This window comes from Homo sapiens, chromosome 5 (assembly GCF_000001405.40).
Source record: "Homo sapiens chromosome 5, GRCh38.p14 Primary Assembly".
Taxonomy (NCBI): domain Eukaryota; kingdom Metazoa; phylum Chordata; class Mammalia; order Primates; family Hominidae; genus Homo; species Homo sapiens.
In genome coordinates this window covers 87,574,310-87,598,981 of record NC_000005.10, presented here as the reverse complement: position 1 = coordinate 87,598,981, position 24,672 = coordinate 87,574,310, and the positions used below count along the sequence as shown (strand labels likewise).

Genomic DNA, 24,672 nt, shown 5'->3' with positions numbered 1-24,672 from the left:
GAATGTAGATGGGCTAAATGCCCTATTTAAAAGGCAGAGTGGTAACCTGGATAAAAAAAGCAAGATCAAATGGTATATCTTTAAGAGACCCATCTCATACACAATGACACCCAAACTATGCATCTGACAAAGGTCTGATATCCAGCATCTATAAGGAACTTAAACAAATTTATGAGCCAAAACAATCTTGTTAAAAAGTGGGCAAAGGACACGGACACTTTTCAAAAGAAGACATACATGCAACCAACAGGCATGTATTTTTTTAAAAAGCTCAACCTTACTGATCACTAGAGAAATGCAAATCAAAACCACAATGAAATACTGTCTCATATCAGTCAGAAAGGCTATGAGTAAAAAGTCAAAAAATAACAAATGCTGGTGAGGCTGAAGAGAAAAGGGAACACTTATACATTGTTGGTGGGAGTGTAAGTGTTAGTTCAACCATTGTGAAAAGCAGAGTGGTGATTCCTCAAAGAGCTGAAAACAAAACTATCACTGAACCCAGCAATCCAATTACTGGGTATATACCAAAAATATATATATAAATCATTCTACCATAAAGATGAATGTTCATTGCAGCACTTTTCACAATAGTGAAGACATGGAATCAACCTCAATGCCCATCAATGACAGATTGGATAAAGAAAATTTGGTACATGTACATCATGGAATACTAGGCAGCCATAAAATTAGATGAAGTCATTTCTTTCACAGGAACATGGATAGAGCTGGAGGCCATTATCCTTAGTAAACTAAAGCAGGAACAGAAAACAAAATACCATGTGTTCTCACTTATAAATGGGAGCTAAATGGTGAGAACTCATGGACACAAAGGGGAAAAACAGACACTGGGACCTACTTGAGGGTGGAGGGTGGGAAGAGGGAGAGCATCAGAAAAAATAACTATTGGGTACTAGGCTTAGTACTTGGGTGATGAAACAATTTGTACAACAAAACTCTGTGACATAAGTTTACTTATCAAAAAATCTTGCACATGTACCCCTGCACCTAAAAGTTTAAAAAATAATAAATAAATAAATAAATAACTAAATAAGTAAAGTACTACTTCTACCCAAATGCTTCAAAAAAGAAATGAAGACAAATAAATATTTCCAAACCCATTCTACAATTCCAGTGATATGGTTTGGCTGTGTCACCACCCAAATCTCATCTTGAATTGTAGCTCCCATAATCCCCATGTGTCATGGGAGGGACCCAGTTGGAGGTAATTGAATCAGGGGAGTGGGTTTCTCCCATCCTGTTTTCATGATAGTGAATAAGTCTCATGAGACCTGATAGTTTTATAAAGGGCAGTTCCCCTGCACAAGCTCTCTTGCCTGCCTCCATGTAAGATGTACCTTTGCTCCTCCTTTGCCTTCTACCATGATTGTGAGGCCTCCCTAGCCATGTGGAACTGTGAGTCCATTAAACCTCTTTTTTTTTCTTAAATAAATTATCCAGTCCCAGGTATTTCTTCATAGCAGTATGAAAATGAATTAATACAGTAAATTGGTACCACAGAAAGTGGGGTGCTGCTGTAAAGATACCTGAAAATGTGGAAATGACTTTGTAACTGGGTAACAGGCAGAGGTTGGAACCATTTGGAGGGCTCAGAAGAAGACAGGAAAATGAGGGAAAGTTTGGAACTCCCTAGAGACTTAGAGGGCTCAGAAGACAGGAAGACGTGGGAGAATTTGGAATTTCCTGGAAGCTGAGGTGGTCTCAGATGGAGATGAGAAGCTTGTTGGGAACTAGAGCAAAGATGACTCTTGTTATGCTTTAACAAAGAGACTGGCAGCATATTGCCCCTGCCCTAGAAATCTGTGGAACTTTGAACTAGAGAGAGACAATTTAAGATATGTGAAAGAAGAAATTTCTAAGCGGAAAGTGTTCAAGAGGAAACAGAGGGTAAAACTGGAAAATTTGCAGCCTGAAGATATGATAGAAAAGAAAAACCCATTTTCTGGGGAAAATTCAAGCCTGCTGCAGAAATTTGCATAAGTGACAAGGAGCCCAGTGATAATGACCAAGACAATTGGGAAAATGTCTCCAGGGCATGTCAGAGACCTTCAGAGCAGCCCTTCACATCACAGTCCTGGAGGCCTGGGAGGGAAAAATGATTTCATGGGCTGGACTCAGGGCACCCCTGCCAGGCCCAGTGCCCCCTTGCTCTATGCAGCCTTGGGACACATTACCCTGCATCCCAGCTGCTTCGACTCCAACTGTGGCTAAAAGGGGCCAAGGTACAGTTCAGGCCATGGCTTCAGAGGATGAAAGTCCCAAGCCCTGGAAGCTTACACATGGTATTGAGCTTGTGAGTTCACAGAAGTCAAGAATTGAAGTTTGGGAACCTCTACCTAGATTTCAGAGGATGTACAAAAACGCTTGGATGTCCAGGAAGAAGTTTGCTGCAATGGCAAGGCAAGCCCTCATGGAAAACCTTTGCTAGGGCAGTGCAGAAGAGAAATGTAGGGTTGGAGCTCCCACACAGAGTCCCCACCATGGCACTGCCTAGTGGAGCTGTGAGAAGAGGGCCACTATCCTCCAGATCGCAGAATGGTGGATCCACCAACAGCTTGCACCTTGCACCTGGAAAAGCCATGGACACTGAATGCCAACCCATGAAAGCATCTGGGAAGAGAGGCTACACCCTGCAAAGCCACAGGGGCAAAGCTGCCCAAGACTATGGGAGCCCACCTCTTGCATCAGCATACCCTGGAGTCATGAGACATGAGTCAAAGGAAATCATTTTGGAGCTTTAAGATTTGGCTGCCACTCTGGATTTTGGACTTGCATGGGGCCCATAGCTCCTTTGTTTTGACCAATTTCCCCCATTTGGAATGGGTGTATTTAACCAGTGCCTGTACCCCCATTGTTTCTAGGAAATAACTTACTTGCTTTTGATTTTACAGTCTCATAGGTGGAAAGGACTTGCCTTGTCTAGATCAGACTTTGGACTGTGGACTTTGGAGTTAATGCTGAAAGAAGTTAAGTCTTTGGGGGACTGTTAGGAAGGTATGATTGGTTTTGAAATGTGAGAACATGAGATTTGGGAGGAGCCAGGAGCAGAATAATATGGTTTGGCTGTGTCCCCACCGAAATCTCATATTAAATGTAGCTCCCATAATCCCCACCTGTTGTGGGAGAGGCCTGGTGGAAGGTAATTAAATTATGGGGCAGGTTTTTCCCATGCTGTTCCCATGATAGTGAATAAATTTCATGAGATCTGATGGTTTTATAAAGGGCAGCTTCCCTACACTCACATTCTTGCCTGCTGCCATGTAAGACATGCCTTTGCTCCTAATTTGCCTTCTTCCATGATTGTAAGGCCTCCCCAGCCATGTGGAACTGTGAGTCCATTAAACCTCTTTTTCTTTATAAATTTCCCATATCGGGTATTTCTTCATAGCAGCATAATAATGGTCTAATGTGATGGTTAAGAATGAGTGTCAACTTGATTGGATTGAAGGATGCAAAGTATTTATCCTGGGTGTGTCTATGACGGTGTTGCCAAAGGAGATCAACATTTGAGTCAGTGTTCTGAGGAAGGCAAATCCACCCTTAATCTGGTGGACACAATCTAATCAGCAGCCAGTGAATATAAAGCAGGCAGAAAAACGTGAAAAGGCAAGACTGGCCTAGCCTCCCAGCCTACAGCTTTCTCCCATGCTGGATGCTTCCTGCCCTCAAACATCAGACTCCAAGTTCTTCAGTTTGGGGACTCAAACTGGCTCTACTTTTTCCTCAAGCTTGCAGACAGCCTACTATGGAACTCTGTGATTGTGTAAGTTAATACCTAATACTTAATAAGCTCCCCTTGATATATATATCCTATTAGTTCTGTCCCTCTAGGGAATCCTTACTGGTACAGATTTTGGTACCAGGAGTGGTTCTAGAGGAACAGAATATTAAAGCTGGAGTTCTTCCATTGGTTTGGGGTTTCTGGAGTTGGCTGCTTAATATGATTAGACCCAAAAATGCTGAGGACTTTACTTCTAATAGTATGGAGAACACTGATAGTCCTTGATATAAAGTGTTTAAAGAGTTATGCAAAATAAATAAATTTGACACTCCTGATTCACCACTCAGGAGAGGCCAGGAGCTTAGTGAATATATACATAATATCTTTGACCATATGTGGAGAATCGAGGAAAATAATGAAGCTGGTTGGTTGTTCCTAAGTTCAGTGCACAAATTGATGAAAGAAAATGATGACTCAGGGATTCTGTCTCCTGGCTTGAAATACAAATACTGATCCTAAAATCTGCTAAGATTGCCCTGAATGAGAGTCTTATCTCCTGTAGAGAAAGAGCTGAAGTTGTGGAGAAACAGACAGAAGCTCTTATCATGTGAGTGGCTGACATGCAATGAAACTTGCATACACAGCCTTGCCAGGTGTCTACTGTTAAAATGAGGACATTGGTTGGAAAAGAATGGGACACTGCAACTTGGGATGGGGGCATGTGGGAAGACCCTGATGAAGCTGGGGACACTGAGTTTGTAAACTCTGATGAACCTCTTTTGGCTGAAGAAACAGCTTCCCCATCCTCAATAATGGCAACATCCCCTCCCTGACTTATGCTGCCATCAGCCTTTCCACCTTAGTCTGAGGAGATAAACCCTGTGCTGCCTGAGGCAGAAATGATGGCCTCCCCTGAGGCAGTTGCCAGGCAAAATAATGTTGATTCTCCTCAGGAGCCACCCCGATCACCCTGGTAGGCTTCTAGACCTATAACTAGACTAAAGTCTCGGTGGGCCCATACACGTGAGGTTGAGTGTGACCCATGAGAAGATGCACTACACTTGAAAAGAACTGCTTGAGTTTTCTAATTTATATAAACAGAAATCTAGATAACAGGCATGGGAATGGATATTAAAGGTATGGGATAATTGTGGAAGGAACATAAAGTTGGATCAGGCTGAATTTATTGATTTGGGCCCACTAAGTAGGGACTCTGCATTTAATGTTGCAGCTTGAGGAGTTAAACAAGATGCTAATAGTTCATTAGCTTTGTTAACTGAAATATGGATTAAAAGATGGCCCACTCTGAGGTGCTGGAAATGCCTGATCTCCCTTGGTTTAATGTAGAGGAAGGGATCCAAAGGCTTAGGGAGATTGGGATGGTGGAGTGGATTAGTCACTTTAAACCTACTCATCCCAGCTGGGAGTGTCCAGAAGATATACCCTTGACCAATGTCATGCAAAATAGATTTGTGATGGCAGGACCTGCATTTCTGAAGAGCCCTGTAATTGCTCTTCTCTGTATGTCAGATCTAACAGTGGACTCCACAGTCACTCAATTACAAAATTTAAATACAGTGGGAATAATTGGATCCCAAGGTGGCAGGGGCCATGTGGCAGCAGTTAACCATCAAAGGCAAGGTGAGAGTAACTACCATAATGGACAGCAGAGAAAAAGTAGCCATCAGAATAGTCTGACTCGTGTAGGGCTCTGGCATTGGGTAATTAATCATGGTATTCCTAGAAATGAAATTGATAGAAAGCCTACTGCCATTCCTACTTAACTTGTATAAGGAGAAAACTTCTAGGTTGAATGGACAAAAGACTAATTTGAATTATAAAAATAGAGAATCATGGCCCCTCAATCAATTTCCAGACTTGAGCCAGTTTATAGACCCAGAACCATTAAATGAAGGGGAGGCTGGCTCCCCGTGAGGAAGAACCCCACTAGATTACTGACAATTTATGCAGTGAATCTTTCTCCCATTCTTCCCCAAGGAGACCTCCGGCCTTTTACCAGGGTAACTGTGCATTGGAGAAAGGGAAATGATCAGACATTTTGGGGACTACTACACACTGGCTCTGAGCTGACCTTGATTCCAGGGAACCCAAAACATCATTGTGGTCCTCCAGTTAAAGTAGGGGCTTATGGAGGTCAGGTAATTAATGGAGTTTTATTTCAGGTCCAACTTACAGTGGGTCCAGCAGGTCCCTGGACTCATCCTGTGGTCATTTCCACGTTACCAGAATGCATAATTGGCATAGACATACTTAGCAGCTGGCAGAACCCACACATTGGCTCCCTGACTGGTAGGGTGAGGGCTATTATGGTGGGAAAGGCCAAATGGAAACCATTAGAGCAGCCTCTACCTAGACAAATAGTAAATAAAAAAATTGCATCCGTGGAGGGATTGTGGAGATTAGTGCCACCATCAAGGACTTGAATGATGCAGGGGTGGTGATTCCCAACAAATCCCTGTTCAACTCTCCTATTTGGCCAGTGCAAAAGACAGACAGATCCTGGAGAATGACAGTGGATTATCATAAGGTTAACCAAGGGGTGACTTTAATTGCAAATGTTGTACCAGATGTGGTTTCATTGCTTGAGCAAATTAACACATCTCCCAGTAACTGGTAGGCAGCCATCGACTTGGCAAATGCTTTTTTTCTCTGTTCTTGTCCATAAGGCCCACCAGAAGAAATTTGTCTTCAGCTGACAAGGTCAGCAATCTACCTTTACTGTCCTACCTCTGGGGTATATCAACTGTCTGGCTTTGTGTCACAATCTTATTCGGAGAGAACTTGATTGCTTTTCACTTCTACAAAATATCACACTAGTCGATTACATTGATGACATTATGCTGATTGGATCCAGTGAGCAAGAAGTAGCAAACACATGACTTATTGCTGAGGCATTTGCATGCCAGAGGATGGGAAATAAATCTGACTAAAATTCAGGGACCTTCTACCTCAGTAAAATTTCTAGAGGTCCAGTCATGTGGCTCGTGTCAAGATATTCCTTCTACAGTGAAGGAGAAGTTGCTGCATTTGGTCCCTCATACAACAAGAAACACGCAGAATGCCTAATGGACCTATTTGGATTTTGGAGGCAACACATTCCTCATCTGGATGTGTTATTCCAGCCCATTTATCGAGTTACCTGAAAGGCTGCCAGTTTTTAGTGGGGTCCAGAACAGGACAAGGCTCTGCAACAGGTCCAGGCTGCTGTGTAAGTTGCTCTGCCTCTTAGGCCATATGATTCAGCAGATCCAATGGTGCTTGAGGTGTCAGTGGCAGATAGGGATGCTGTTTGGAGCCTTTGGCAGGCCCCCATAGGTGAATCACAATGGAGGCCTCTAGGATTTTGGAGCAAGGTCCTACCATCTTCTGCAGATAACTACTCTTCTTTTGAGAGGAAGCTCTTGGCCTGTTACTGGGTTTTGGTGGAAACTGAACGCTTGACTATGGGTCATCAAGTTACCATACAACTTGAACTGCCTATCATGAACTGGGTGCTTTCTGACCCATCTAGCCATAAAGTGGGTCATACACCGCAGCATTCCATCATCAAATGGAAGTGGTATATATGTGATTGGGCTCAAGCAGGTCCTGAAGGCAAAAGTAAGTTACATGAGGAAGTGGCTTGGTCAAATGCCCATGGTCTGCATTCCTCCCACCCTGCCTTCTCTCGCCCGGCCTGCACCAGTGGCCTCATGGGAGTTCCCTATGATCAGTTGACAGAGGAAGAGAAGACTAGGGCCTGGTTCACAGATGGTTCTACATGATATGCAGGCACCTGAAAATGGACTGCTGCAGCACTACAGCCCCTGTCTAGGACATCCCTGAACAGCGGTGAAGGGAAATCTTCCCAGTGGGCAGAACTTCGAGCAGTGCACCTGGTTGTGCACATTGCATGGAGGGAGAAATGGCCATATGTGCGATTACATATTGATTCATGGGCTGTTGCCAATGGTTTGGCTAGATGTCAGGGACTTGGAAGAAGCATGATTGGAAATTGGTAACAAAGAAATTTGGAAAAGAGGTATGTGGATGGACCTCTCTGAATGGTCAAAAACTGTGGAGATATTTGTATCCAGTGTGAGTGTTCACCATCAGGTGACCCCAGCAGAGGATATTAATAATCAATTGGATAGGATGACCCATTCTGTGGACACCACTCAGCCTCTTTCCCCAGACAGCCCTGATATCCCCCTATAGACCTATGAACAAAGTGGCCATGGTGGCAGGAATGGAGGTTATGCATGGGCTCAGCAATATGGACTTCCACTCACAAGGCTGACCTGGCTATGGCCACTGCTGAGTGCCCAATTTGCCAGCAGCAAAGACCAACACTGAGCTCTCAATATGGCACCATTCCTTGGGGTAATCAACCAGCTACCTGGTGGCAGGTTGAATATATTGGACCCCTTCCATCATGGAAAGAGCAGAAGTTTGCTCTCACTGGAATAGACACTTACTCCGGATCTGGGTTTGCTATCTTACACACAATGCTTCTGCCAAGACTACCATCTGTGGACTCACAGAATGCTTTATCCACTGTCATGGTATTCCACACAGCATTGCCTCTAACCAAGACACTCACTTTATGGCTAAAGCAGTGCAGCAGTGGGCTCATGCTCATGGAATTCACTGGGTTTACCATGTTTCCCATCATCCGGAAGCAGCTAGATTGATAGAAGGATGGAATGGCCTTCTGAAGTCACAATTACAATGCTAACTAGGTAACAATACTTTGAAGGGCTGGGGCAAAGTTCTCCAGAAGGCCATGTATGCCCTGAATTAACATCCAATACATGGTACTGTTTCTCCCATAGTCAGGATTCGTGGGTCTAGAAATCAAGGGATGGAAGTGGAAGTGGCAACACTCATCATCATCCTTAGTGATCCACTAGCAAAATTTTTGCTTCCTGTTCCCACAGCATTAAGTTCAGCTGGCCTAGAGGTCTTAGTTCCAGAGGGAGGAACACTGCCACCAGGAGACACAACAATGATTCCATTAAACTGGAAGTTAAGATTGCCACCTGGACAGTTTTGGCTTCTCCTACCTTTAAGTCAACAGTCTAAGAAGGGTGTTACAGTGTTGGCTGGGGTGGCTGACCCAGACTATCAAGGTGAAATCAGTCTACTACTCTATAACAGAGGTAAGGAAGAGTATGCATGGAATACAGAAGATCCATTAGGGAGTTTCTTAGTATTACTATGCCTTGTGATTAAGGTCAGTGGGAAGCAACAACAGCCCAATCCAGGCAGAACTACAAATGGTCCAGACCCCTCAGGAATGAAGGTTTGGGTCAGTCCATCAGGAAAAACAAAACAAAACAAAACAAAAAACCACAACCTGCTGAGGTGCTTACTGAAGGCAAAGAGAATACAGAATGGGTAGTAGAGGAATGTAGTCATCAATACCAACTAATACCACGTGACCAGTTGCAGAAGTGAGGACTGTAACTGTCACGAGTATTTCTTCCTTCTTTTGTTAAAAACATGTTTGTGCATGTGTACACTTGTATAAGAAAATGTCTTCATTTTATTTCCTTTTCCTTTATCATGTGACATAAAATTTATTGACTTTATATTAGCATTTAAGTATTGTTAACTTTATGTAATAGTATTTGGGTTGGGGATTGGTGTGTTTCTGGTTGTACTAAGGATAGTTGTATTATATTAGGTATAATTATGAGCTTATTATTGTCTTTATTTGAAGATTATATATGATCTCAGGAGATGTGTATGGGTTCAGGTTGACAAGGGGTGGACTTGTGATGGTTAATACTGAGTGTCAACTTGATTGGATTGAAGGATGCAAAGTATTGACTCTGGGTGTGTCTGTGAGGGTGTTGCCAAAGGAGATTAACATTTGAGTCAGTGGGCTGGGGAAAACAGACCCACCCTTAATCTTGTGGGCACAATCTAATCAGTGGCCAGCAGGCAGAAAAACGTGAAAGGATGGACTGGCATGGCCTCCCAGCCTACATCTTTCTGCCAGGCTGGATGCTTCCTACCTTTAAACATCCAACTACAAGTTCTTCAGTTCTGAGACGCAGACTGGCTCTCTTTGCTCTTTAAGCTTGCAGACTGCCTATGGTGGGACCTTGTGATCATGTAAGTTAATACTTAATTAACTCATATGTGTATATATATATATATATACACACACACATATACATACAGCTACACACACACGTATACATCTTCTATCAGTTCTGTCCTTCTCAGTAACCCTAACACAACTAACACAGCCAGCATTATAATGATACTCAAACCAGACAAAGACACAATAAAGAAAAGAAAACTACAGGCCAAAATCACTGATGAACATATATGCAAAAATCCTCAACAAAATACTAGTAAATCTAATTCAATAACATGTGAAAAAGATCATTCACCATGAACAAATACGATGCAAAGACATCATATTTTTGCATCTAGGGATGCAAAGACATTTCAACATACATAAATCAAATATAAAATCTATTTATTTCAATAGATGCTAGAAATGCATTTGATACAATTTGGCATCTCTTTATGATAAAAACCTGCATCAAAATGGGTAAAAAATTGATATTTCTCAAAATAATAAAGACTATATATGACAAACCCACAGCAAACGTCATACTAAAGACGCAGAAATTGAAAGCCTTTTTTGTAAGGACTGGAACAAAACAAGGAGTCCCACTCCCACCATTGTTATTCAACATAATACTGGAAGTCCCAGCCAGAGCGATTAGGCGATGAAAAAACAACAAAGGGCATTGAAATTGGAAAGGAAGAAGTCAAACTAGCTTTCTTCACAGACAACATAGAACCTAGAAAAATATAAAAATGCCACCAAAAAACTGGTAAAGCTGATAAATGAATCCAATAAACTTGTAGGATGAAAAAATCAACATAAAAATCAATAGCATTGATATATGCAAACAGCAAAGAATCTGAAAAAGAAATCAAGAAAGCAATTTCATTTACAACAGCTACAAAAAATGTAAAATACTTAGGAGTCAATATAACTAAAGAAGTAAAAGATCTATGCAAGGAAAGCTATAAAACACTGATGAAAGAAATTGAAGAGGACACAAAAATATGAAAAGATATTCCAAGTTCACGGATTGCAGAAATTGATATTTTAAAATGATAATACTACCCAAAGCAGTTTACATATTCAATGAAATCTCTTTCAAAATATAAATGACATTCTTCACAAAAATAGAAAGAAAAATCCTAAAATTTATATGGAATGACCAAAGACTTCAAATATCCAAAGAAATTCTGAACAAAAAAGATAAAGCTGAAGGCATACTACCTCACTTCAAAATTTACTACAAAGTTATAGTAACCAAAATACCAAAACAGGAGAGTACTGGCACAAAAGCAGACAAATATACCAATGAAACAAAATTGAGACTCCAGATATAAAGTCATGCATTTATAGCCGACTCATCTTTAATAAGGGTGCCAAGGATGGGAGCAAACAGTCTTCAATAAATGGTGCTGAGAAAACACATGCAGAAGAATGAAACTAGACCCTCTTTCTCATTCTACACAAAAATAAAATCACATTCGATTAAAGACTTAAATCTAAAACCTCAAACTATGAAACTACTGGAAGAAAACATTGGAGAAATGATCTAGGACATTAATCCAGGCAAAGACTTTTTGTGTAAGACCTCAGGCCGGACACGGTGGCTCACGCCTATAATCCCAGCACTTGGGAGGCCAAGGTGGGCAGATCACCTGAGGTCAAGAGTTTGGGACTAGCCTGACCGACATGAGAAAACCCTGTCTCTACTAAAAAAATACAAAATTAGCCGGGTGTGGTGGTGCATGACTGTAATCCCAGCTACTTGGGAGGCTGAGGCAGGAGAATCGCTTGAACCCCGGGGGCGGAGGTTGAGGTGAGCCGAGATCGTGCCATTGCACTCCAGCCTGGGCAACAAGAGCGAAACTCCGTCTCAAAAAAAAAAAAAAAAAAAAAACCTCAAAAGCACAAGCAACCAAAGCAAAAATAGACAAATAGGATTACATCAAGCTAAACAGCTTCTGTACCACAAAGGAAACAATCAACAAAGTGAAAAGAAAACCCACAGAATGGGAGAAAGTATTCACAGAATGGAAAGTATAACTATCCATCTGATAAGGGATTAATAGCCAGAATATATAGAGAGAAGAACTCAAAAAACTCAATAGCAAAAAATTTCAAAAAAAGAATTAACACTAAATAATCTGATTTTTTAAATAGATGAAAGATCTGAACAAACATTTCTCAAAAGAAGACATACAAACAACAATAGATAAAGGAAAAACTGCTCAACATCACCAGTCAGAGAAATGCAAATCAAAGCCACAATGAGATATCATCTCATCCCTGTTAGAATACCTATTATTAAAATGACAAAACAAAACAGATGCTAGTGAGGATGTGGAGAAAAAAAGAACACATACACTGTTGGTGAGAATATAAATTTGTACAGCAACTATGGAGAATCTCATGAAGATTCCTCAAAAAACTAAAAATTGCACTATTATATGATCAAGCAATTCCAATAGTGGTTTTATATCCAAAAGAAAGGAAATCAATATATCAAAGGGATATCTGCACTCTCATGTTTGTTGCAGCACTTTTCACAAGAGCCAAGATATAGAATCAACCTAAGCATTCATCAATGGATGAATAAGGAAAATTTAGTACATCTATATGATGGAATATTATTCAACCATAAAAAGAATGAAATGCTGTCATTTGTAGCAACATGAATTAATCCAGTGGCCATTATATTAGGTGAAATAAGCCCGCCCAGAGAGACAAATATTGCATGTTCTCACTCATATATGGGAGCTTAAAAAATGGATCTCATGGCCGGGCATGGTGACTCATGCCTGTAATCCCAGCACTTTGGGAGGCCGAGGCAGGTGGATCACGAGGTCAAGAGATGGAGACCATTCTGGCTAACATGGTGAAACCCATCTCTACTAAAAATACAAAAATTAGCCGGGCATGGTGGCACGTGCCTGTAGTCCCAGCTACTCAGGAGGCTAAGGCAGGAGAATCGCTTGAACCCGGGAGGCAGAGGTTGCAGTGAGCCAAGATCGCGCCACTGCACTCCAGCCTGGGTGACAGAGCCAGACTCTATCTCAAAAAATAAATAAATAAAATAAAATAAAGGATCTCATAAAAAGAGAGTAGAATGGGGGTAGGGTGCCAGAGGTCAGAAATGGTACAAGGAAGGGAGGGATGAAGGGAGGAAGAAAAGAATATAAATGTACTTATTACCACTGAACTATACACTTAGAAATGGTGAAGATAAATTTTATATGTATATTCCACCTCAATTAAACAAAGTGTAAAAAAGGAAGAAAACAGAAAAAAGTTGAATGTTCTGACTATATACTGGGTGAAGTTAAAAGATAATCTAAGCCATAGTTGCTGGCCACTAATAATTGAAGTTAAAAGACTAAAATACATTTTTACAACTTAAAATCACTTTCTTAAAAGGTTTTTGAGTGAATAGATCAAAAATGCAATTCCGTAATAGTTAAATAATTATGTATCAAAGGTCAAAAGCTTAAACCAAAGCTTTACTCAGGGGCAAATTCAGTCTTAAAAACTTCTATTTATTACTGGATAGGAAAGTAAGAAAATAAAGAAAAATTTCTTTAAGTGCAAAAAGTTAAGAAATAAGCAGCAAAACCAGCTTAAGGAAAGAAGGAAAAAGGAAGTAATTAAAATCAAAATTAAAATTAAAGTATAATTAATATATTAAAATGCTTTGTAAAAAATGTATTTTATTAACATAAAGGCTAAATGTTGGACAGAGAGAATCTAAATAAAGCAATAACTATTTTAATTAAGAAGTATGGTAATCCTTCAAAGAGCTAAAAGCAGAACTACCCTTCAACCCAGCAATCTCATTACTAGTTGTATACCCAGAGGAATATAAAGCATTCTACCATAAAGACGAATGCACATGAATGTTCATTGCAGCCCTGTTCACAATAGCAAAGACATGGATTCAACTTCAATGCCTATCAATGACAGACTGGCTGAAGGAAATGTGGTACATATACACCATGGAATATTATTCATCCATAAAAAAAGAATGAGATCACATATTTTGCAGAAACATGGATGGAGCTGGAGTCTATCATTCTTAGCAAACTAATGCAGGAACAGAAAAGCAAATACTGTTTGTTCTCCCTCATAAGTAGGAGCCAAATGATAAGAATTTATGAACACAAAGAAGGAAAAAACAGACACTGGGACATACTTGAGGGAGGCGTATGGAAGGAAGGAGAGGAGCAGAAACAATAACTATTGGGTACTGAGCTTGATAATATGTAAAACAAACCCTTGTGATCTTGTGTTTGTGTAGCAAACCTTCACATGTACCCCAAAGCTAAAATAAAAATTTTAAAAAAAGGAATATGGAGCAAATGATTTCCATGCTTTAAAAACTGCTGCAGATGATTACAAAAGATTAAAAATTTCCCATTCTTTGTTAAGTGGGGTTTACTCTTTACCCATAAATATGAAAACAAACACCTCTCTATCTTTTCCTCTTCATTTCTCTCTCCTTTTCTCTCCCTCTCTCTTCCTTCCTACACATCCCCCACACATGCATATTGAGGAAAAGCACAATAAGTAAAACCAATTCATAGTATTTTTACAGATAAGGAAACAAGTCAAAGGTAATTAGGTGCCTTGTATATGATCATAGAGTCACACGGCTGAAACAAGATCTCTCTCCCTATGGCTTCTCTGCATTAATGGTTCCCTACATGTACTGACTACATAGTCAGAGTTAGGAAATTGATCTGATTATTTGATGTGATTAGCATATCAAATTCTGAATTCTTTGGTTATCAAATATATTCTGAACCCAAGAGGGACTCAAGTATATTAGCAAAAATTTTTTAGATAGTAATAGAGCTTTTAAGTATACATCCACAGTTACCATCTATTAATCTTCATATTCTACCTCTTTACCCAAAAGTTTTTTTTTTTTTTTGTAGGTTAATTTTTTTTTCATTTTTTTTTTTTTACATTAATTTCTGGGATATATATGCAGAACGTGCAGGTTTGTTACATAGGTGTACATGTGCCATGGTGGCTTGCTGCACCTATTGACCTATATTCTAAATTCTCTCCCCTCACCTGCCACCCCCCAACAGGCCCTGGTGTGTGTTGTTCCCCTCCCTGTGTCCATCTGTTCCCCATGTTCATCTCCCACTTATGAGTGAGAACATGCAGGGTTTGGTTTTCTGTTCCTGTGTTAGTTTGCTGAGGATGATGGCTTCCAGCTTAATTCATGTCCTTGCAAAGGACATATCTCATTCCTTTTTTATGGCTGCATAGTATTCCATGGTGTATATGTACCACATTTTCTTTATCCAGTCTATCATTGATGGGCATTCTCTCTACCCAAAAGTTTTAACCAGAATATATACCTATGTTCATATACCAGAACATTTACTATGTTTTCAGACATCTGAAGATCCCATAACTATGAGTCCCTTTGCTCAAGTTTTATCCGTTGATTACTTGAAGTTTGCCCTCTAATGCTTTCTTCAAAAACAATTTATTTGGACAATATTTCTTAAGTTTTTGCATATTCAAAACCGTTTTGCAGTAGCCTTTATACTTGAAGTAAACTTGATTGGATATAAAACCATTAGCTTTGCATATTCTTTCACTGGACCCTTGCAGCATGTTACTAGCCAATCTTTATCTTTGGAGTCTTGTAATTCTAAGTTATGTCTCTATGTGGATCATTCTGGGCCAGTTTTTATTTGGCCCTTCAATTTGAAATGTAAGTCATTTTGCTTGTCTAAAGAAAGTATTTGGGATAGTTTTAAATAGTTGTTCTATCCTATTGTTTTGATTTTCTTTTTCTGGGACTTAAATTATACAGTTTTTGGATCTCCTTTGGCTGATTTATATATCTATGGTTTTTCCTATAATTCATTTTTATCTCTTTATTTTAACTTCATTTTGTTCTTTCTTTTTGTATTTGTATCTTCTCTTTGTGTGTTTCTGTTTCCCCTATGTTCTTAGTAATTAGTCTCTATTTCTGAAAATTTTATCTTTTTCTTCAATTCCCCTGCCAAGTTCTTCCAGTTATAGTTTCAGACCTTCCTTTTGTCTTATCATCACCTCCCTGAGATCTTGTACTTCTGTTATGTGAATTTTTCTTTATGGCTCCATTATTTTCTTTTTTGGATTCATGTTGTTATGTTGGCTACAGTTTTCATCTGCTTTACTCAACAATTTTCTGATACATTTTTATAATTAGCAGAAAAAATATGCTGCCTCTTTTTCGTATTTTAATATTTTTGTATGAATACCATAAATATTTCTTTCTTGTTACTTGAATAAGTTAAAATTTCCTTGAGTTAGAAAAATATTAAGAAGGACCAGGATAACTTTCCAAGTTACACCTGTTAAGAATCTCCTGAGCAAACGGCTGTTTCTTCCTTATATGGTGCTTCTGTAAAGACATGTTTCCACTGCCTCTTAGAATCTAACCTGGCTCTGGAAAACTTCTACTGCCAACCCTCAGTTCTTTTTGGTTTCTTTCTAGGTTGTAGTCATAAGCAAATAGTTTTTCTTTTAAAGGGCTTTTTTATTTCCCCCTTACTGTAACTTTCTATACTCTTTCTCCATGAACCCAAGACATCATGACCTGTGCGATCTCAGACCTGCGCAATCTCAGATAATGCTCAGGTAGGGCATTATCTTTCTGGAATTAAATATTTGCTGTAAATGTATGAGATCTGCTACAGCTGAGTCTCCCCTGTGCTCATTTTTCTTGTCCAGAGCCCTGTCACAACTTCCTATGTGGGCCTAAGGTCAGCAAAGTTGTTTTCGATACCTTTTCAAATAGTTTTGAGTTTGGTCATCTTGATTCATAGAACACATAGGTTGTTGATTTTATTTGTTTGTTCTATGAGGTTTCAAGAAGGAAAAAATAAGAAGATTAACAACCATACTATTACGTTTAAGAGGAACTGAAAATCTCTCAGTTTTGTTACTTATAATTCTCCAACAAAATCAATTTTTTCTTTTCTAGAATCAACTTAGTAAACAATGTTATCTTCTGACAGCAAATTATCTCACATACTAGAATTTAATAAATCAAAATAAGTTTTAGCATGCTATGAAGTATACTTGTTTCACTGTGTTATGGATCGAATTGTTTCCCCTTGAACTTCATATATTAAAGCCTTAATTCACAGTATTGCAGAATGTAACTGTACTTGGAGATAAAATATTTTAACAGGTGATTTAGTTAAAATGGAGTCACTGGGGTGGGTCCTAATCCAATCTGACTAGTGTCCTCATAAGAAGAGGAAATTTTGGCACAGAAAGATACACCAGGGATGTACATACACAGAGGAAAGGTCATGTGAGGACATAGCAAGCCAAGCAGAGAGGCCTTTGAAGAAATCAAGCCTACCAATACCTTGATCTTGGACTTCTAGAGTCCAGAACTATAAGAAAATATTTCTATTGTTTAAGCCACAAAGTTTGTTGTGTTTTGTTATGGCTGCCCTAGCAAACTAATGTGTACTGTTAACACTGAATATTTTCACTGAGAAAGAGTAAGCACACATCTCTAGTACCCAAGGGAGAAAATGGGGGAGGTTTACTATTATGAGTGGGGGTAAGAGGATTTGAATTCCTATCCTCAGAGTACATGAATATACCCCATATTTAGCTGCAGTTTTTGTTGTTGTATGATTATTTCAAAATGATTTTATTCCTGTATAAATAGTTCTTCAATTAATGCGTTCACCAGCCATAAAAAAATGCTTATTTTTTTCTATTTTTTCCCACTTTGCCATTTTTTCCTTCTTTCCATCAGAATATTTCTTTTTTCAATGACTAATATTCCATTATCTTCTGCATACATACTACTTGTACCTTATCAAAAGACCATCATGAGGATTTTCTGGACAACAGCAAAATGCTGGGGTTTTTTTGGTGGGTTTTTTTTGTTGTTGTTGTTTTTTGGTATTGGCACACATGTTGATGTTCCCACATAGCTGATTAGGGGTTAGAGGTTGCAGGTAAAGCTGTTTAGACATGTAGAAGCCACAGGTCATGTGCACTGGCATGTATAACCCAATGCCCTCCAGATGGTTCTAAAACACTTCCCACTCCAGAACTTCACCTTAGCTGTACCACAGCAATTCTTCCATTAAAAACCTAATTACCTTAAGAAATCTAAAGAATAGCTGAATTTGATTCTAATTCTGGTTTGAGAACTAATCAGATCTATACTGTAAATAGTCAATAAAATTGCCTTGTATGCCACACTTACAGTAACCCTAAAATGTTTATGATCATTGAATAAACACACTTTCCCTTAGAAACTACATTGATACACAGCAAGGTGTTTGGTTTACTTTCATTTTCAAAAGTGTATTTATTGTGTGTGATGTAAACTTGTATGTAATTTTTTATTTTTTCACATTTTACTAGAGATATTTTTGAAAAATAACATTGCTGTTTCAAGGCCATATCACTACAAAATCAATTTATTAAAAACACTTCTTTAAAATTGTTTAATGTTCTCTTTGTGGCAGTTTATAACTAAAAGTTAATTGATATTGTACAGATCTGAAACAAATTTTAATGGTTATAAAATCCATCAGCAAGTATTTTTGAACACTATTATGTGTTCAATGCTGGGCATTGCAAATGTATTTAAAATTATTATGTTGATTCATGTGAAATAGTGTAGCAGCCAATACTTGACCATATTTGAACTACAAAATGGCAATCTCTTTTGGTACAGCCCAATCCCAATAAAAAGCAAGTGCTCTCCTTTCCAAAGGCATGAAAGTTAATATTCCATAATCATATTTTATAGAATAATGTAATATCTTAAAAGGTGCTCACAAAATAAAGTATAAAGCTCCACCTTGACCAAAATTAAAGTAACACCTCAGTTACACAGCCATGGTATCACTTTAGATGCTAATAACCTTTATTGATTTTATTAAATTATTACAATTTTTTGAACGCTTTGTAAAATCTATTACATATATCATAACCTTAAAACATACAGAGTCACAAACATTTATTTTATGAAAATTTAAGGGTGTAATTCTCCATCCTAAACTGTGAGGCCCTTGGAGATAGGGAGTCTTATTTATCTTTGTTTCCCTAGACTTGTTTTGGAAATTGGGATATTATTACAACACCAATAGATATACTGCAACACAATTCTGATGCTAACCACCCAGAGTTAGCACAAACACCACAAGTTAAAGAGTATGGTTCCCAATGAGACTGCCCTTACTTAAGACATCAGCTACACTTTGGAGGTCCCCAAACCACCCACACTTCTCACCAACTAGCTACATAACCCTTTCAGGTTTCACAATTCACTAGAAGAACTGAAAGAACTCACAAAACTGTTACACATCTGAGTACAGCTTTATTTAAAAGGATACCAGCCAAATGAAGAGACATACAAGGTAAGGCCTGGGAGACTCCCAGATACAGTGCTTCCATGTCCCATCCCCATGAAATCAGAACATATCACCCTTCAAGTCTATCCATGTGTTCACCAACCAGGAAGCTTCACTGAGTTCCAGTGTCCAGATATTTTATTTGGTTAATCCACTACTTAGGCATGATTGAGTGAATCATTGTCCATGTGATTGAACTTAATCTTTAGGCTTCCTCTCCTCCCCGAAAGTTGGACTGACTCAAAGGCCAAACTCTCTCATCACTAAGTTGGTCTTTCTGGTGACCAGTCCCTATTCTGTTTCATCTCCCTAGTATAAATTCAGGTGTGATCCAAGGTGTTCATACATAACAAAGATACTTCTATTGTTGAGGAAATTCCAAGGATTTAGTCTTTCTTTCAGGAACCAGGGACAAAAATCAGTCAAATTCTTTATTATGCAACTAATGTACTATGTGCTTGTCAAGATTTATTGAAAAGACTACAGAATATGCATTTAATTCTTTAATTTCTTGTCATTTGTATATAGAGAGACTAAAATGAGTATCAATTTCATTATCTCCATCAGTCTTCTTGCATTTATCTTATCAGAATAAAAAACTAATATTAGCATATGTCACAATTTCATCTCAACAACTACACTTTCCCTTTCTCTGTGCTCCAATAACACATATTTTGTACTACTCATATAATACTTTTCAGATATTTTGGATAGTCATGCTTGTCTACTCTTTAAAATTGTTAATTTGATGTCAGTAAGTGTGACATAAAGCTTTGATTTCCACACAAAAGTATGCATTCAAATGTTTTTAATGTTTTATTGAATTTTGTGAATGTTGCTGTTAAAACACACACATACATATAAGCCAAGCTAAGTTTTCTCAAGAACATTTATATATGGATTCTATAGATTTGATTGATCACATTCACTTTCAGATTTCTTATAAATTATAGCTTTTGATTTTTGTGGTTATATAATCTGAGCACTCATCAAAAGACAGTAAAACAAAACCAATTTAAAAATGCTGGCTGGCTTACTAAAAACTTTGCTGGAGAGTTGGTTGTTTCCACTTATTTCAAAATTACACAAAAGCAACAGGGAGAAAGCTGAGCATGGTGGTGTACACCTACAGTCCCACCTACTTGGAAGGCTGAGGTGGGAGGATCACTTGAGCCCAGAAGTTAGATACCTGCCTAGGCAATATAGGAAGATCCTATCTCATCAAGAAAAGGCAACAAGGAGACCAACAAGATCAAGAAACAGAAATTAAATCTCTGTAGAAAATCTAGAAGACTATTGAAACTACAAACCACAAAACAGGTAGAAATTGTGCCCTAGAGCAATTAATATTTTTGTTGGGGAGGGTGGGTCAGGTCTAGACCTATGATTGCAATACTCAAAAAATGCTGGCTAAGAAAGGCTGCATAAGGGGCACACTCAGATAGTCAAACCCTAAATTCCTGTTTGCAACATCAGTTCCAAAATGAATGGGCTTAGCTGAAGATGTGGAAGCATCTCTGAACCCAGTTCTGTCTTGATAAATATAGAAAGAAGTGTTATAAAAGTAATCCTGCAGACAAGCTATATTTGCATGAATGGTCTAACCAAATGCTGGGGGAGAGTAATAACAGGGACTTTAGTGAAAACAATTTGTTTCTAATGGATTTTTAAAAGGCAAAGGATAAAAAAACCTCACACCCCAAACCATGGGCTTGAAGATTTTCTGCTATTTTATAACATGGTCCTTAGGACATACAAACTTTATGTACATGGCTAATTAAGGAAAAGTTTACTTTATTCATTCAAAAGTAAGTTGTTAATAAAAAAGAAAAACAGCACTGGTTGGCTCTATAGAATGACATTAGAAAAAAAAATAACTGGAGATAGAGAAATGATGAAAACACTCTACTACAGATATATTGCCACAGAGCAGATAAAAATCTTGACCAAATATTTTTAATGAGTTAGAATGACTATCTATAAAACAAGAACATAAAAGTTACATGAGCTCAGGAAAAGACTGTGGATCAATAAAGGCAGATGACATGTGAGCTGTCAGAACTCAGAAAATAAGTAGAAGATACAAAGGAAACCAACTCCAAAATGAAGGCCAAATGGAAAGTGCACAGAGAAGAGATTCTGATGAAAGCAAGAAAGATAAATAGAAAACAAAAATAAGAAAATCGAAAGGAACGATATTGAAACAAAAACATAATTTAAAAGGATTAGAGATATAGCAAATGGACTAAAATATACATATTATTAAAATTTCTGAAGAAAAAAACTAAAAATGAATAGAAATAACCACATAGTTATTTTCAAACAAAAACAGACTGAGACTCATAAAATTATTGAATTATAACTAATCATACATTTTATATACATAAATACAAACAGGTCTAGGTTTTCGTTAAGAGAAAAGGACTTTTACATTGGATCATAAAGCAAATCCAATTCTGTGCTATATAAAATTGTCATATCTGAAACCATAGAAAACAATATATTTCAGAAATTGTGGAAATAAAAGAATATATTCTAGACAAATTCAAACAAAAAGAATCAGGGTCATGATCTTAATAAAGTTCACATCACCTGCATGACCCCCTTTGAGGTTTTTGGAGTGTACCCAGCAATGGGTTCACATAGTCATTAGTATTAATATTTATAAAAATTGCTAAATAAGCTATTTTAATCATAATCCTTCTACTGACTATTGTCTCTCCAAGTCACCTTCTCTCATATTATCCAGTGTCAGATAACATTAGATTTACTAACTATGGGTGATTGTAGGATCTAGTTACAGAGAAGTTTATCAGGTGAACCCGCCCCCGATATTTCAATGTAGGTTCTCTTCTGTTTTCCCTAAGTGTCGACTGGTCTGAGAAATAAAGGGAAAGGAGTACAAAAAAGAGAAATTTTAAAGCTGGGTGTCCGGGGGAGACATCACATGTCGGCAGGTTCCGTGATGCCCCCTGAGCTGCAAAACCAGCAATTTTTTATTAGCAATTTTCAGAGGGAAGGGAGCGTATGAATAGGGTGTGGGTCACAGAGATCACTTGCTTCAAGGGCAACAAAAGATCACAAGGCAGAAGGTCAGGGTGAGATCACAAGGTCAGGGTGAAACTAGAATCACTAATGAACTTCCATGTCCCACTCTGCATGCATTGTCATTGATAGACATCTTAACAGGGTTCAAGAGCATAGAACCAGTCTGACTAGAATTCGCCAGGCTGGAATTTCCTAATCCTAGCAAGCCTGGGGGCGCTGCAGGAGGCCAGGGCATGTTTCATCTCTTATCTGCAAGTGCATAAGGCAGACACACCCAGAGAGGCCATTTTAGAGGCCCCCCCGGGAATGCATTCTTTTCCCAGGGCTGTTAATTATTAATATTCCTTACTGGGGAAAAAATTCAGCGATATTTCTCTTACCCATTTTCAATAATAAGAGAAATATGGCTCTGTTCCGCCTGGCCCACAGGCAGCCAGACTTTAAGGTTATCTCCCCTGTTCCCTGACAATCACTGTTATCTTGTTCTTAAGGTGCCCAGATTTCATATTGTTCAAACACACATGCTTTACAAAAAATCTGTGCAGTTAACGCAATCATCACAGGATCCTGAGGCGACATACATCCTCAGCTTACAAAGATGATGGGATTAAGAGATTAAAGTAAAGACAGGCATAGGAAATTATAAGAGTATTGATTGGGGAAGTGATAAATGTCCATGAAATCTCCACAATTTATGTTCTTCTGTCATGGCTTCAGCAGGTCCCTCCGTTCGGGATCCCTGACTTCCCAAAACAGAAGTTGAGTTGGAGCACCTTTAGTTTGCATATGGTTGGATATCCTAATTTTTTCCATTAGAGAAGTAATCCCTGGAATAGTACCACTGTCGCTTACCCTAATGCACCCAATATTATGGCACAGAGGTTCAGGACAAGAGGCCATGCAGCAAATAAGCAAGTCCTACAGCACTCATCACCAAAAGTGTGGGTAATGGAAAGAAAACAAGATTTAAAATGTAGAGAGTCACATATTATTCTGGTAAAATTCATAGGATCAGAGATATAAAATTATAAGCAAAATACCTGAGTCTCACTGATGCCTTGCCAAAATGGAATTTATGTATTGTTAGAACTATACTCGATTAGACAGAATATTTAATTATACATGCAGCTCTTTTTAATGTGGGACTTATGCAAAGCAAAATTTATCAGAAACTTTCTCTTTGTAGAGCTCAAAATTATAGCAGTATTAAAAATAGCACATCTATGAGAAGTCACATATTGTATGCACCTCAACTACCAACAAAAAACAAATTTTAATGTTTTTGGCTAAAAGAAAAACTGAGTAATTTTTGTATTAAAATATGAAATATTTATAAATATTTTTAAAACATGAAATATTTATAAATATATTTTTAAACATGAAATATTTTTAAATATTGTTAAAACATTGTTACAAGATGTTACCAAAGTGTATGTAGTCAAAAAATATACGAAAAATCTTTATAGAAGTGTCATATTAGTTTCCTGTTCCTGCTGTTACCAAATTACTAAAAATTGAGTGGCTTACAACAACACAAATTTATTATCTTAGAGTTCTGAACGTCAAAAGTTTAAAATAGGTCTTCAGGGCTGCCTTCCTCTGGAAAAGCTAGAGAAGAATGTGTTTTCTTGACCTTTTCAGCTACTAGAGGCAGTTATTCCTTGGTTTGTGTCCCCTTCCTCCATCTTCAAAACCAGCAGTAGCAGCCCGTCTCCTCTTCGACCCTGCTTCCACCCTCACATCTCTCCTTTTTATCTCTAACCCTCATGCCTTCCTCCTATAAAAACCTTGTAATTACACTTTTATAGGAGGAAGGTTCCAAGATTAGAATGTGGACATTTTGGGGGGACCATATTGCAGCCTACCATAGCTGTATTAGGCAATTAATTATGCATATATAATCAGAGATGTAAAATCATAAACAGAAGATTTTATATGTAATACATAAACAGAAGATATATATGTTAGCTATGTTTTGTGACTTTTTTTGGTAGTTGTCACCATTTTATAATTGATAATTTGTTCCTAATTCTAAATATATATTCATCTTCAACCCTAATTTTTAACTTGAAAATTTTATCACTTGAAAACATTGTCAAAAACCTGAATCCTAAACTTCAATATCATAATTTGGATTCAGTAAGTATGTAAAGTAGCAGTAATTCTTAGCTGCCCACCAAAATCTACTCTTCTTTTTCTTTAAAAAAAAAAAAAAATCCAAGATTGTACTTTCCAGCCTTCTTGTAGTTAGGTGTAGCAAAATGATTATCTTTTTCCAATAGAATATAAGCAGGCATGATGCGTGTTATTTCCAGGCCTGGCTCATAAAAACCTACCAGATGCACTCCCTTAGGTTCTCTTCTCTTGGCCAGGTAGATGGAAGTGACAGG

The 24,672-nt window shown here is 38.2% G+C and overlaps 1 annotated feature.

The window, feature by feature from the left end:
• Positions 22,095-22,642: an enhancer, noted in NCBI's record as "OCT4-NANOG hESC enhancer chr5:86872157-86872704 (GRCh37/hg19 assembly coordinates)". NCBI's record gives its function as "activates a minimal SCP1, AML or CMV promoter by ChIP-STARR-seq in primed H9 embryonic stem cells {active_cell/tissue: H9 hESC(primed)}" and the evidence as "EXISTENCE:reporter gene assay evidence [ECO:0000049][PMID:30033119]".